The sequence below is a fragment of the Homo sapiens genome, chromosome 10 (assembly GCF_000001405.40).
Source record: "Homo sapiens chromosome 10, GRCh38.p14 Primary Assembly".
In the NCBI taxonomy this organism is placed as follows: Eukaryota; Metazoa; Chordata; class Mammalia; order Primates; family Hominidae; genus Homo; species Homo sapiens.
The window spans coordinates 103987798-104001687 of NC_000010.11; the positions used below are offsets into that span (position 1 = coordinate 103987798).

The window sequence follows — 13890 nt, forward strand, 5'->3', positions numbered from 1 at the left end:
AAAACGAGAAAGTTAAAGTACTAAGAACAAGGAAAAATGACCAAATGATAGAAATATGGGGAGACTGGAAAGGGTATAGAGGAGGCAAAACTTTGCCTCCACCCTCTTAGCGTCCCTGCTGGGCCCGAGAATTAAACTGACACAAGATAGAGTAGAGGAGAAAAGCATAGACATTTAATATAAGTTTTATGTGACATGGGAGCCCTCAAAAGAAAATGAAGTCATAGAGAAATGGCAAAACCTACATGCTTTTGTGTTAGGTTGAAAGAAGAGAGGCGATTGTAGAAAAGTAGATATGTTATATGGGGAGGCTAAAGGAAGATGTTTAATTTAACAAGGTCTGTTTGTACACAATTCTCTTGACTGTGACTCCCTATCAAAGAATGTTTCTTTTCTCCTGGGATAGAGAAGACGTCTTTTACAGGAACATTTTCATCTCCTAGTTTCAGGAAGAAAAGGTGGAAGATTAGAATGCCCTTCTTGCATCTGCTATTTTTCAAGTGCCTTTCAAACTCAAAGTGATCCTTATGTCAGAGTGGCATGTTTGAAGTGGTGTATTCTGCCACCCTTCACGGGTAATGATTATGCCTAGTGTTCCATTAACGGAACGCTAAGCTTGTGGGGGTTATTTATATCCTACTGCCCAAGGTAATTGCCAAGGTCTGATTTTTCACAAAAAAAATTTGCAACCTCTAGCATAAATGGGTTAATTTCACACACAAAAATTTGCAACCTCCGGCATAAATGGGTTTCAACCTCCAGCAGAAAGGGCTTTGGAAACAGACCTGGATTTAAATTCTGTTTCTGCTTCTTACTAGCTACATGACCTGGGAAAGCCTTTTAACCCCTCAAAGCTCATTTATATCCTCCTTTAAAGTAGAGGTAATAATATATCATGGGGTTGTTGTGAAGATTAAATAGTAATAGTAATTACAGCTAACATTTTTGAATCCTTCTATATATGCCAGATAGTATATTAAATGTTTATATGTGGTTTTTTTTTTTACTTGGCAGATATATGTTATCTTAATTCTCATGAACTTGTGAGATGTAGATAATTTTTACTGATGAGGAGACTAAAAGAGGGATTTTGTAAATTGCCCCAAGCAACACAGCTAATAAGTGGCAAAACCAGAATTTAAATCCAGCAGTCTGACCCACCAGAGGCTGTGATTTGAAATGCTGTCCCCTATGTATATGAAGCCCTTAGCACAGTGCATAGCCATAGCATGCATTAATTCATATTTATGTTTAGGCTGTCTTTTATAAATAGTGTGTCAAGAGAATGAGAAGACAAGCCACAGACTGAGAAAATATTTGCAAGACACATATTTGATAAAGGAAAGTTATCCAGAATATGCAAATAACTCCTAAAACTTAACAATTAGAAAATGAACAGCCCAGTTAAAAAATGGTCAAAAGATTTGAACAGACATCTCACCAAAGATTTGACAAATAAGTATATGAAAAGATGCTCGACATCATATGTCATCAGGGAATTGTAAATTGAAAAGATACAAGTACTACTATGTAGCTGTTAGACTGGTGAAACCCATGCTTGCTGGCAACCCCAAATGCTGGTGAGGATGTGGAGCAACAGGAACTCATTCATTGCTGGTGTGTATGCAGACTCTTTCAGCCATTTTGGAAGACAGTGTGGCAGTTTCTTTTTTTTTTTTTTTTTTTTTGGAGACAGAGTCTTGCTCTGTCACCCAGACTGGAGTGCAGTGGCGCAATTTCGGCTCACTGCAAGCTCCACCTCCCAGGTTCATGCCATTCTCCTGCCTCAGCCTCCCGAGTAGCTGGGACTACAGGTGCCCGACACCACGCCTGGCTAATTTTTTGTATTTTTAGTAGAGACGGGGTTTCACCATGTTAGCCAGGATGGTCTCGATCTCCTGACTTCGTGATCTGCCTGCCTCGGCCTCCCAAAGTGCTGGGATTACAGGCGTGAGCCACCGCGCCCGGCCAACAATTTGGCAGTTTCTTAAAAAACTAAACATACTCTTACGATATGATCCAGCAGTTGTACTCCTTGTTTATTACCCAAATGAGTTGAAAAACATGTCTACACAGAAACCCGCACATACATGTTTATAGAAGCTTTATCCATAATTGCCAAAACTTGGAAACAACCAACATATCCTTAAGTAAGTCAATGGATAAACTGTGGTATAACTAGACAATAGAATATTATTCAGTGCTAAAAAGAAATGAGTTATTAAGCCATGAAAACATTAAGGAACTGTAAATACATATTACTAAGTGAAAGAAGCTAAACAGAAAGGTCTATACATACTCTGATTCCAAGTATATGACATTCCAGAAAAAGCAAAAGCAAAACTATGGATGCAGTAAAAAGATCAGTGGTTGCCAGGGGTTGGAGGAAGGAGGGGATGAGTAGGCAGAGCACAGAGGATTTTTAGGGCAGTGAAACTATTCTGTATGATATTATAACGAGGGCTACATGTCATTATACATTTGTTGAAACCCATAGATGCAAGAGCAAACTGTAATGTAAACTTTGGACTTGGGTGATAATGATGTGTTAATGTAGGTTCATCATAGCAACAGATGTATCACTCTGGTGTGCAGTGTTGATGGGGGGGTGGTTATGCATGGAGCACGAGGGAACTTTCTGTACTTTCCACGCAATTTTGCTGTGAACCTAAAACTTTCCTTTATCAAATATGTGTCTTGCAAATATTTTCTCAGTCTGTGGCTTGTCTTCTCATTCTCTTGACACACTATTTTTAAAAGACAGCCTAAACGTAAATATGAATTAAATATGAATTAAAACTTAAAATCTATTAAAATAATAAAAAATTAGAAAATGATGCATTTGAAATGTGACACTTCTGATACTTTCATTTTCAGGCCCAGAATAAAGAGACCAGTGTTTTAGCTGCTGCAAAAGTGATTGACACTAAATCTGAAGAAGAACTTGAAGATTACATGGTAGAGATTGACATATTAGCATCTTGTGATCACCCAAATATAGTCAAGCTTCTAGATGCCTTCTATTATGAGAACAATCTTTGGGTAAGTATTTTCTGTTGATCTAAAGGAGTAGCCAAAATGAGTTAATTGTCCTAAAGAGATGTTTATGAATTATTAAAACCTATTTTATGTCTTATCTCTTCTATTTAGTTACTTGTGTCACTTGAATGAGAGTTGATCTGCTGATAAGAGAGTAATAACAAAGTTATTCTCAGCTTCAACAGATGTTCAGATTTATGTTTCAGATTGTACAGTTTCATCATGATTGTTTGACATTGGATCCAGGTGGAAAAATTTGGTTAAGAATAATAAATTTCCTAAAATATGAAATTAGATGTCCTTGTTTATAATTTAAATTTAATCATTTAAAAGTTTTAAAAGTTTCTCTTAGAAATTGTTTATAATTTTTTATCCTAAACTTTTTGTAAATCTTGTAATAAACTGTAAAATACTAGAAATGTTAAATATTTATCGTATTATCAGGTTCAACTTTAGTGCATGATGTGATGGCTAAAGCTGTATGTATAAATTTTATTCATTTTCAGAAAATATTAAGGTACAAGTAGATATAGAAATAAAACTTTCATATTCATTATAATAATCTGTCAATCACTTGTTCTGTACCAACATTAGTTTAATCAAGAGGACTTTTTAAAATGCAGCTTCAGTCTTTCTTCCTGAAGGAAGAAGCAAAGTTTTATGAGAGAGAAGAGTAAGTAGTATAAGGAATACCTGACTGGATGCCTAAAGGTCTATATTTTTTTATCCCAGTGCTGCCACTTACGGAACTTGGATAAGTCAGTTAACTTTTATGAGTCTGTTTACTCATCTGTAGGATGAGTAATGATCTACCTCCCAAATTATTTTCTGAATAATGTAATGAATTTGAAAACAATTTCTAATTGGCAAGCACTTGTAAAAAAAAATAAAGCATTATGCTGAGGGAAAAAAGGCAGGAAGCTACCTAATTAGTTAAAAATATGTTATTTTTTAAAATTATAGTTATTATTAATGTGGTGTTTTCTGAAATTATTGTTCAGGGCTGTCGCAGAATGTTTCCAAAGATTATAATGCAAATGAACCCATAGACTAGTTAATAAACAGATAAGACCTTTACTTGGGACTATTGCACAATAAAAATTTAGACAACTGTGAGGGGAAGTTTAGTGGGAGACATAAATGTTAATTAATCAAATAATCACAATAAATATAAAATTACAACTGTGGTAAGGGTTAAGAAGGAAAGGTACATGGTGTTATGTCTTACCAGGGAAGTCAAGATAAGCACCTATCAGCAGGTAATAATTGAGCTCGGATCTGAAGCTTTTGTGGGTATTTCTTCTGTTTTTTTTTTTTTTTTTTCTAAAAGAAGTCTCTGTATAAATATTTTCAGGATTTATTCCTATTTAATACAGTTTAAAAAAACAAATGTATATTTGTTCACTTAAAGCACAAGTTGCCTTAAAAATATAAGTAATAAAATCTTTCATTGGTGACCAAATAGCTGTGCAGTACAATACCAAATGAAAAAGTTCTGTACCTGGTAGTTGTAGAGAAGCAGGGACAGTAAACATGGCAATTAACAAAAATGCCCATGCTTTCACAGTGGGCTTTATCAAATGCATATTGTTTGAGATTTGTAACTCTTTTGACAAAATCTTCGTTTAGTATATCGTTTCCATAACCAGATTATTTGATAGCTATTTCTTTATCTTTTTTGCTAAGCTGAAGAAAAAATACTGAAACTCAAAACTCCATGTAGTTTTAGACACACGCTTTTTTTTTTTTTTTTGCATGCAGATCCTCATTGAATTTTGTGCAGGTGGAGCAGTAGATGCTGTGATGCTTGGTAAATACCTTTTTGTTCTTTCTGTTCATATCTTAAATTATACTTGATAAGATGAAAGAATTTCAACCATATATAAATATATTCAAATATGTAAGTATCGAGTAAAGTTCAGTAAGTTAACTCAAGTATGTTTTTATATTCTTGGATAATTATAGTAAAATTCTAAAATGAAATGTTGAGTGTGTCAAGAATGTGATCTTTGTAGATATAGTTCTTTTAAAATAAATTCCCTGCATATGATCTTTGACAGTGATGATATATACAGAAAGGTATATAGCCTGCTAATATGTTTTCACTGTATAAAAAGCAGATTTTTTTTTTTACTTTCTCCTTATAGAACTTGAGAGACCATTAACTGAGTCCCAAATACAAGTAGTTTGCAAGCAGACTTTAGATGCATTGAACTACTTACATGATAATAAGATCATCCACAGAGATCTGAAGGCTGGCAACATTCTCTTTACCTTAGATGGAGATATCAAATTGGGTAAGTTATTCACTTAAATAAAACATTAGAATTTTTACTCTGAAATTTCCATCTTTATGTATGTGACTTAATGTGGTTTTATTACTACTTAAATATGTGAAACATGGAGAACTAACTCCATGCTGGTTTTTAAAAAACACTTTTTTAGGTAAATACTCATTTTTCTATAATTTCTAAATATCAGCACCTAATTGAATGCTTTAAAAAGAAGATAAGAAAGAATGAATTTTTATTTTCAAAAAGGCATGCTTTTTAAAGACCAATTTCAAGTTTGTACCCTTAAATTTTTGTACGTAGACTTAATACTTGTAAATGTTTTATGTTTAGAATATAATATAGTATGTAAAACTGCTAACTCAGTTTTTTCTTTATTTCCAAAGTTCATGTCTAGTGAGTTTTTCCCCATGTTTAGTTTTATATTCTATTTTATTGATATGGTACGTTGACTAAACTAACAAAGTAATCTTAGTTCTGAAGAGAATACCTAAACGTAAGGACTAGAATTTTTAATTTTACTCTTTATACTGAGGGAAGAAATGTTACCTTCATAAGAAGAATTAGATGTAGGTCTTATGAAAGTTATAGCGCTCTTTACCCAAGATAGGAATTATTTAAAAAGTCTAGAGATGAAGTCCAAATTTGTATATTTTGGAAGGCTATTCAAAGGACAAAATATATTCAGAAGTCAAGTTGATACCAGTGACTATAGTCATTTCACTTTACTTTGTCAAGACATTTAAACAGATGGTGTACTAAATTTTATTCTTTTTAATTTTTTTTTAACGGAGTCTTGCTCTGTTGCTTAGGCTGGAGTGCAGTGATGTGATCATAGTTTACTGCAGCCTTGAACCCCTGGGCTCCAGGGATCCTTCCACCTTATCCTCCCTAGTAGCTGGAACTGCAGGCATGCACCACCACGCCTGGCGAATTTTTAAAAATTTTTTTGTAGAGATGAGGTCTTGCTCTGTTGACCAGACTGGTCTTGAATTCCTGGGTGCAAGTGATTCTTCTGCCTTGGGCCTCCTGAAGTGAATTTTAACCTTTTGATTGTGAAAAATTACAGATATAGAAAACCACACCAGAAATTGTGTAGCTTAAGTTTAGTACTTTGTAGACATAGCTTTGTAATCACTACCTAGATCAAAAAGTAGAACTTTGACAGGCATCCCAGAAGCTCTTCCGTATGCCCATCTCAGCCACTGCCCTTCTCTTCTCCACATTTTATCCTGACTTTTATATTATTTCCTTCCTTGTGTTTCTTTATGGCTTAGTCACCCAGTATTCATCTCTAGATGTTAGGGTTTAAACTTGCTCATATAAAACTTGGGTTTTTAAAGTCTCTTAACTTACAGGCCTTCCCCCATTCCTTTCTTTTCTTTATATTATGGCATGTGTAATGGGGGATGAGGGCAATATCACCCACATGGGTGCAAAAATTAGTTCTTTAGGGCCAAAAAAAAACCTTATGCATTACAATGGTTTGTGACCTTCCAAAGGCCCCAGTACATGAAGAGATATAACACTGTATCTATGGCATTAAAATTTTATGGGAGGAGGGATGATGTGAAAAAAATGTTTAAAATGACTCCTTAGAGGGGCTAGTAATGAAACACTGATCCATGGAACCTGGGCTGTTTGGCCTGTTGTGTTTCCCTCAAACTGCATTTTGCTATTGCATACTCCTGATGATTGAAGTTCCTTTCTGTATTTCCTTCAGTTTGGCAGATGAATCCAAAGGCTTGATCAGTCTCAAGCCTGATCCTTTGGCAAGACTTACAGGTGGTTTTGCATTCTTTCATTGGGAGGCACACCGTGTCTGCTTTGTGCCCTTTTTTGATGTTGCATCTATTGAGGCTTAATGCCTACACCTCTGTCTTTTGGGGTTGCAAAACGAATTCCATTATTTTGTTTTCATTATTTTCGATAATGATTTTGATATAAACACCAATTATTTCATTATTTTCATTCATTATAAAATTAGTAATGAAGATAATGACTTGGCTGTCTCTTATCCTCAATTGATGACCAGTGTTTTAAAAAATATTGTTAGTTCATGGATTTAATTTTATTTGGTTGGTTTCAAATCCATTGCAGTTTTTATTCTTATTGAAGCTCATGTTGTTCCATCTTTAGTCAGTGGGGTCTTCCTCGTGTCTGCTTGTTGGTCTTCTTGACAGCACTAGTAATCTTTGATAGCTTACTTGACAGTTCTGAGATGTTTCAGGCTCATCTGTGTATTTCCTGTGTCAGACCTGTAATTAACCATTTCTTTTTTCTTTTCTTTCTTTTCTTTTTTTTTTTTTTTTTTTTTTGAGTCAAAGTCTTGCTCTGTTGCCCAGGTTGGAGTGCAGTGGCTGATCTCAGCTCACTGCAACCCCCACCTCCTGGGTTCAAGGGATTCTTGTGCCTCAGCCTCCTGAGTAGCTAGGATTACAGGCATGTACCACCATGCCCAGCTAATTTTTGTTTTTTAGTAGAGATGGGGTTTCACCATGTTGACCGGGCTGGTCTGGAACTCCTGGCCAGAAGTGATCTGCCCACTTCAGCCTCCCAAAGTGCTGGAATTACAGGTGTGAGCCACTGCACCCAGTGTAATTAGCCATTTCTTTAAGAAGCCCTGGTTTCTTTTAGTAGAATATAGTATTTCAAGACCACAGTCTGGTGTAAGAGATGCTTGCAGTTTTCTATATTGGCCATTGTTCTAGGACTTTTCAAAGGACAGAGCTAGAACCCTCATGAGTTCATATATATTTCCTATTCAAATTCAGGATAAAGGTTTTTAAAATCTAACCTCTGTAATAAATGTGCATCTCCTTTCTTCTATGTTGAGAGTTCTGGTTCTCAAGGACATTGATAGGTTTAGGATACCTCATAATTCATTTTAACCCTCATTTCTATATTTAATGCTCACCACCACTCCTTATGTTGATGTGTCTTTGGTGATGTTGGTTATCTGAAGCTCAGCTTTTGGTAGATTCCTCTGAAAGGGCTCTCTGAATTCTTACATAGTGATAACAGTTGTACCCTTATAGTTGAAGGTTAGTTTTGCTGGATAACAAATCCTTGGCACAAATTTCTTTCCTTCAGCATCTGAAATATGTTACTCTGTTTTCTTCAGTCATGAAGTGTTGTTGTTGAAAAGTCTGATAATCTGAATTTCTTCATTGTAAGTCATGTGCTCTTTTTGCTTAGATGCTAAAAGTTTTTTTTTTTTTTTAAGACCAGTAGTTTGACCAGTCTTTTCTAATAAATATTTTTTTTCTTTTCTTTTTTTTTTTTTTTTGAGACGGAGTCTTGCTCTTTCACCCAGGCCGGACTGCAGTGGCGCTATCTCGGCTCACTGCAAGCTCTGCCTCCCGGGTTCACGCCATTCTCCTGCCTCAGCCTCCCGAGTAGCTGGGACTACAGGCGCCCGTCACCACGCCCAGCTAATTTTTTGTATTTTTCGTAGAGACGGGGTTTCACCGTGTTAGCCAAGATGGTCTTGATCTCCTGACCTCGTGATCCACCCGCCTCAGCCTCCCAAAGTGCTGGGATTGGTGTGAGCCACCGTGCCCGGCCTTCTAATAAATATTATGCTCGTACAATATTCGAGTGCTTTCTTCCCCGCCCCCGACAGGAAAGTTTTCTGGAGTTATAGATCTGAGCATTTGTTTGTTCCCTTGCATTGACTTGCTTCTTTAGAGACTTTTAGTATTTGTTTGTTGGATCTTTGCCTGTTGTCCATGTTTGTAACTTTTTCTCAAGTCCTTTTTTAGCTTGCTTTCTTTTTTATCGTAGGAAAATATATACAACATAAAATTTACCTTTTTGATCATTTTTAAGTGTACATTTCTGTGGTATTAAGTACATTCCCATTATTATACAACCATTACCATCACCTATCTCCATACCTCTTTTCATCTTGCAGCAGTTAAAGTCTATACCCATTAAACAGTTAGTCCCCATTTTCCACTCCTCCCAGCTTCTGGCAACCACCATTCTGCTTTCAGTTTCTATGATTTTGACCACTCTAGGTATATACGTATGTGGAATCATACAACATTTGTCCTTTTGTGACTGGCGTATTTTACTTACCATAACGTTCTCAAGGTTCATCCACGTTGTAGCGTATTTCAAGTCTTCCCCTTTTAAGATTGAATAATATGCCATTGTATGTATATAACACATTTTGTTTATCCGTTCATCCATCAGTGGGCACTTGGGTTGCTTTCACTTTTTGGCTATTGTGAATAATACTGCTATGAATGTTGGTGTACAAATGTCTGTCCTACTCCCTGCTTTTAATTCTTTTGAGTATGCACCCAGAAGTGGAATTGCTGAATCATATGGTAATTCTATGTTTAATTTTTTTGAGGGACCACCATGCTGTTCTCCATAGCAACTGCACCATTTTACATTTCTAACGGAAATGTACAAGGCTTCCAGTTTCTCCGCATGCTTGTCAACACTTTTTTTTTTTCTATGCTACATCCATCCTACTGGGTGTGAAGCGGTAATGGGTATGAATTTGTTGTATTATTTGCTCTTGCTTTCCCTAGTTTAGCCTTTGTTTCTAAAGTTTTTCTTTTTTATTTTAAATTTTTTCTGGAGCTCTGTCGCCTTTCAGAATTTTTCTAATTCTGACTTACATGGCTCTTTTATGTTTTTCATCATTTTTAAAAGTGTCCTAGCTTATTTTGAAATAGGATGTTACAGTTTTGATCAATTTTGGGGGCATTTTTTTTGTAAATATATTGAAATTTTATTTGAATATAGGGACATACTTGTGTAAAATAATGTGTACCTTATCAATATACTGAAGGTTTAGGAATTGTAAAATAATATTTAGTTAGTTGACAATTAAAATATTTGTAATTTCTGTTTAATTTACAAATACTTCCAGAGAACCTTCCATTTCTGCAACACAGATATATAGAACAATCTTATCCCCAAGAACCATATAATAGATAAAAGTAATTCAGGCAGAATTGCATGACCTTTAAGAGTTCTACAACAAAAACAACAAAGGTTAGAATTGTGAATATGGCTAATAATAGCTACCATTTATTGAGTGTATACTCTGTGGTAGGCATGAGCATCAAATACTGAATTTTTGGTACTTATTCAACTTTGAGAATTGTCGCATCAAATGTGAAACTTAAAAATTCGTGCATTTATAGCATGAGGTGAATTATGCAGCAATAGCAGTTTTATGTTGCTGTTAATGTTGTGTGAACTCCAGGCTGAAAAGGTGGGATTAACAACTGAAAAAGCTATAATGTTACTGTTCTGTATAATTTAAATCAGAAAACATAAGGTTCCCAATTTTTTCTTGACAATATAATTTTATGAGGAATTTAGCAAGACATACACTGTCCTAAAGGTTGCTTTAGTATAATTTCTATTTTTCACACTATAGAAAAAATGTTAATGACTCTTAGTTTAATTGTGCCACATAGCACTAGTTGGCATTTATTTTGAAGTGGATAGACTGGTCTGCTTTTAGAGTTACCATTTTTTATTTTCAATTTTGGAGGATTTGTCATCTGAAGATAAGGTGGTATTAAATGTATTGATAATGGGATCTTTAGCAGGTTTTTTTGGGAGATGGTAGAAAGAGATGGTCAAGATTAAGATGGGAGAGACATCTTTTTCTTTCTGTTTAACTTACTTTTTATAATAAGATTAGCCTTATTAAAGACTTAAAATGCTTTTTCTCCCCATTGAATACAATGAACAATGCTTAAAAGTTCTCATTAATGCTTTTGTGTGATTATTTCAAGCGGATTTTGGAGTATCAGCTAAAAACACGAGGACAATTCAAAGAAGAGATTCCTTTATTGGTACACCATATTGGTATGTATTCAGTTTTATGAATTTATAGTATTAGTCATGTCAGCAGTTATAATTACTCATGAATTTTTGTCCACATAATTGATTATACCATGTGTTTTGCAATCACTGTTCTTAAACATGTTAACTTTTAATTATCTGTCTTCATAGGATGGCTCCTGAAGTAGTCATGTGTGAAACATCTAAGGACAGACCCTATGACTACAAAGCTGATGTTTGGTCCCTGGGTATCACTTTAATAGAAATGGCTGAGATAGAACCACCTCATCATGAATTAAATCCAATGCGAGTGCTGCTAAAAATAGCAAAATCTGAGCCACCTACATTAGCACAGCCATCCAGATGGTAAAAATATTCTTAAAAAAGCTTAATAAGAAACAAATGATACTAGGAAGCAGAACTTGATGTTATATTCTCACAATTTTCCAAGAGTATTTAAAATTGGATACATGGTTCGAAGACTATATGAATTAGAAAAGTGATTTTTGGTATATTTCTCTTAAAGACCATTAAAACTCTTCGAGCTCACTTTTCCCATATATCTGAAAATATGAATGATTTGAGTTTTGCATGAGAAAGGTATTTTCTGTACTATGAGGAAGTGAGGTATATAGATTGATCTATATTTGTGAAATTTATTAGAAATTTTGTGCTTTTTGGCATACTTGTGAGTATATGGCTGTCTCAGTGATTATGTACCTACTTACATATATGTCTAACATGTATTTACAGATGAATAAGTTTTACAAAATCTTAATAGTCTCATTAACTAGTTATTTAAATGTTGAATTAATACTATTACATACATAATGAAACTTAAGCATAACTTATCAAAGAGTTTTGTTTAATTTGATTAACAAGAAAGTAAAATAGAATGTTGTTAAAATTTATTTTAAAGGTCTTCAAATTTTAAGGACTTTCTAAAGAAATGCTTAGAAAAGAATGTGGATGCCAGGTGGACTACATCTCAGCTGCTGCAGGTAAGAGAGTATGACAACAGCAAATAATATAATTATTTTAACATCTAAGAATGTAATTTCATATTCAGTGTGCTTTCTTTCCACTTAAATTTCCCTGTGGAGAGTCAAAATGGCAGTAGTTAACATTTGCTTTACAAAATAAATGCTGCTGTTACCATCAGGCATTTAGCTTAAACGTTATTCCTCCTGTGCTTTTTTGATTCAGTTTAATTATGTTCTTTTCATTTTGGTAGTTATTTCCATTATGTCTCTCCAGTTACTAGAAAGCAAGCTCCTTGGGGACAGGGGCCGTGAACTAATTAATTAAAAAATGTCTTACAGTGAGGGTAAATAGTAAATATTGTTGACTTAAAAAAATGTTGTTAAAGCGATTGGGTAAATTTAATTTTGCTTTATAGAAGGACTACTTGTAATATATTAATTAAAAATTGTCAATTTTATAGGTGGGCAAATAAAATGACAAATCTTGAGGCAATTACTGTTAGGTTATTATGTAACTCCATCATAGTGTTTTAGGTTGACCTATTTATCTGGGGGAATAAAGCAGGAAAAAATTGCTTTGTTGTGTGCAGCAAGTATACCCCTGGAACACACTTTCTATTATTATTTTGTTACCCCCACACTTGAAGCCCTTAGTCTGCGACAGACACTGTTAAATGTTGAGTATACAAAGATGAGTAAAATGGCTTCTCATTCTCAAGAATTTTAGAACCATGTCAAAAATACAGGTGTTTATAGATACTTCTAACAGAATTCTAAAGCTTTTTATAATTTTGAGGCTTTGATAGGGTTTATAGAGATGGTTACTTTTTAAGAAGTAATAATGAGGCCAGGTGTAGTGGCTCATGCCTGTAATCCCAGCACTTTGGGAGGCCGAGGCGGGTGGATCACCTGAGGTCAGGAGTTCCAGACCAGCCTGGCCAATATAGTGAAACCCTGTCTCTACTAAAAATACAAAAAATCAGCCGGGCATGGTGGCACATGCCTGTAATCTTAGCTACTCGGGAGGCTGAGGCAGGAGAATCTCTTGAACCTGGGAGATGGAGATTGCAGTAAGTTGAAATCGTGCCACTGCCTTCTAGCCTGAGTGATAGAGTGAGACTCCGTCTCAAAAAAAAAAAAAAAAAAAAAAAAAAAAGTAATAATGTAGTGACCTGACATTTGCTTTAAATTTCAATTAAAATTTTTTATTACGAAGTTTTCAAACACACAGAAAGTACATGTACCTACTACCCAGATATAACAATTCTTATCATTTTTGATAAATTTGCTTCAGATTCTTAAAAATGTACAGATCCAGTTGCAGGTAGTCCCTGCTTTTGCTCAAGCCCTCTCCCCTCTTTCTTTCTCAGATGTAGCATTATCTGAAGTTTTCTGTCATTTTCCTGCCCACATGTTCATATTTTTTACCACATAAGAATGTGTGTTGTGTGTGTTTGAAACTTAGTTTAGTAGTATTCCAGTTGTTGAGTATGTTCTTTTTAATGATCAACAGCATCCCTTTGTTACTGTTGATTCCAACAAACCCATCCGAGAATTGATTGCAGAGGCGAAGGCTGAAGTAACAGAAGAAGTTGAAGATGGCAAAGAGGAAGATGAAGAGGAGGAAACAGAAAATTCTCTGGTCAGTATTTAGGAAAGAAATTTCATTTAGTGAATAGAGTTCGGTTTTGAGGTGTAGTTGCTCCTGTATCTAAGGATTGATGGGTGGCAACGCAAAACCTTTAAATTTAGACCTG

The 13890-nt window shown here is 34.9% G+C and overlaps 1 protein-coding gene across 4 annotated transcripts in view; it reads left to right on the forward strand.

Annotated features, from left to right (window-relative positions):
- Positions 1–13890, forward strand: part of SLK (STE20 like kinase) — a 62094-nt gene that overhangs the window by 20658 nt on the left and 27546 nt on the right. For all 4 annotated transcript variants that reach the window (NM_014720.4, NM_001304743.2, XM_011540401.4 and 1 more), the window contains exons 2-8: positions 2878–3042; positions 4801–4849; positions 5187–5336; positions 11102–11174; positions 11322–11516; positions 12070–12151; positions 13647–13775. In NM_014720.4, the coding sequence (NP_055535.2) occupies positions 2878–3042; positions 4801–4849; positions 5187–5336; positions 11102–11174; positions 11322–11516; positions 12070–12151; positions 13647–13775 (843 nt within the window). The remainder of the gene's footprint in view (positions 1–2877; positions 3043–4800; positions 4850–5186; positions 5337–11101; positions 11175–11321; positions 11517–12069; positions 12152–13646; positions 13776–13890) is intronic.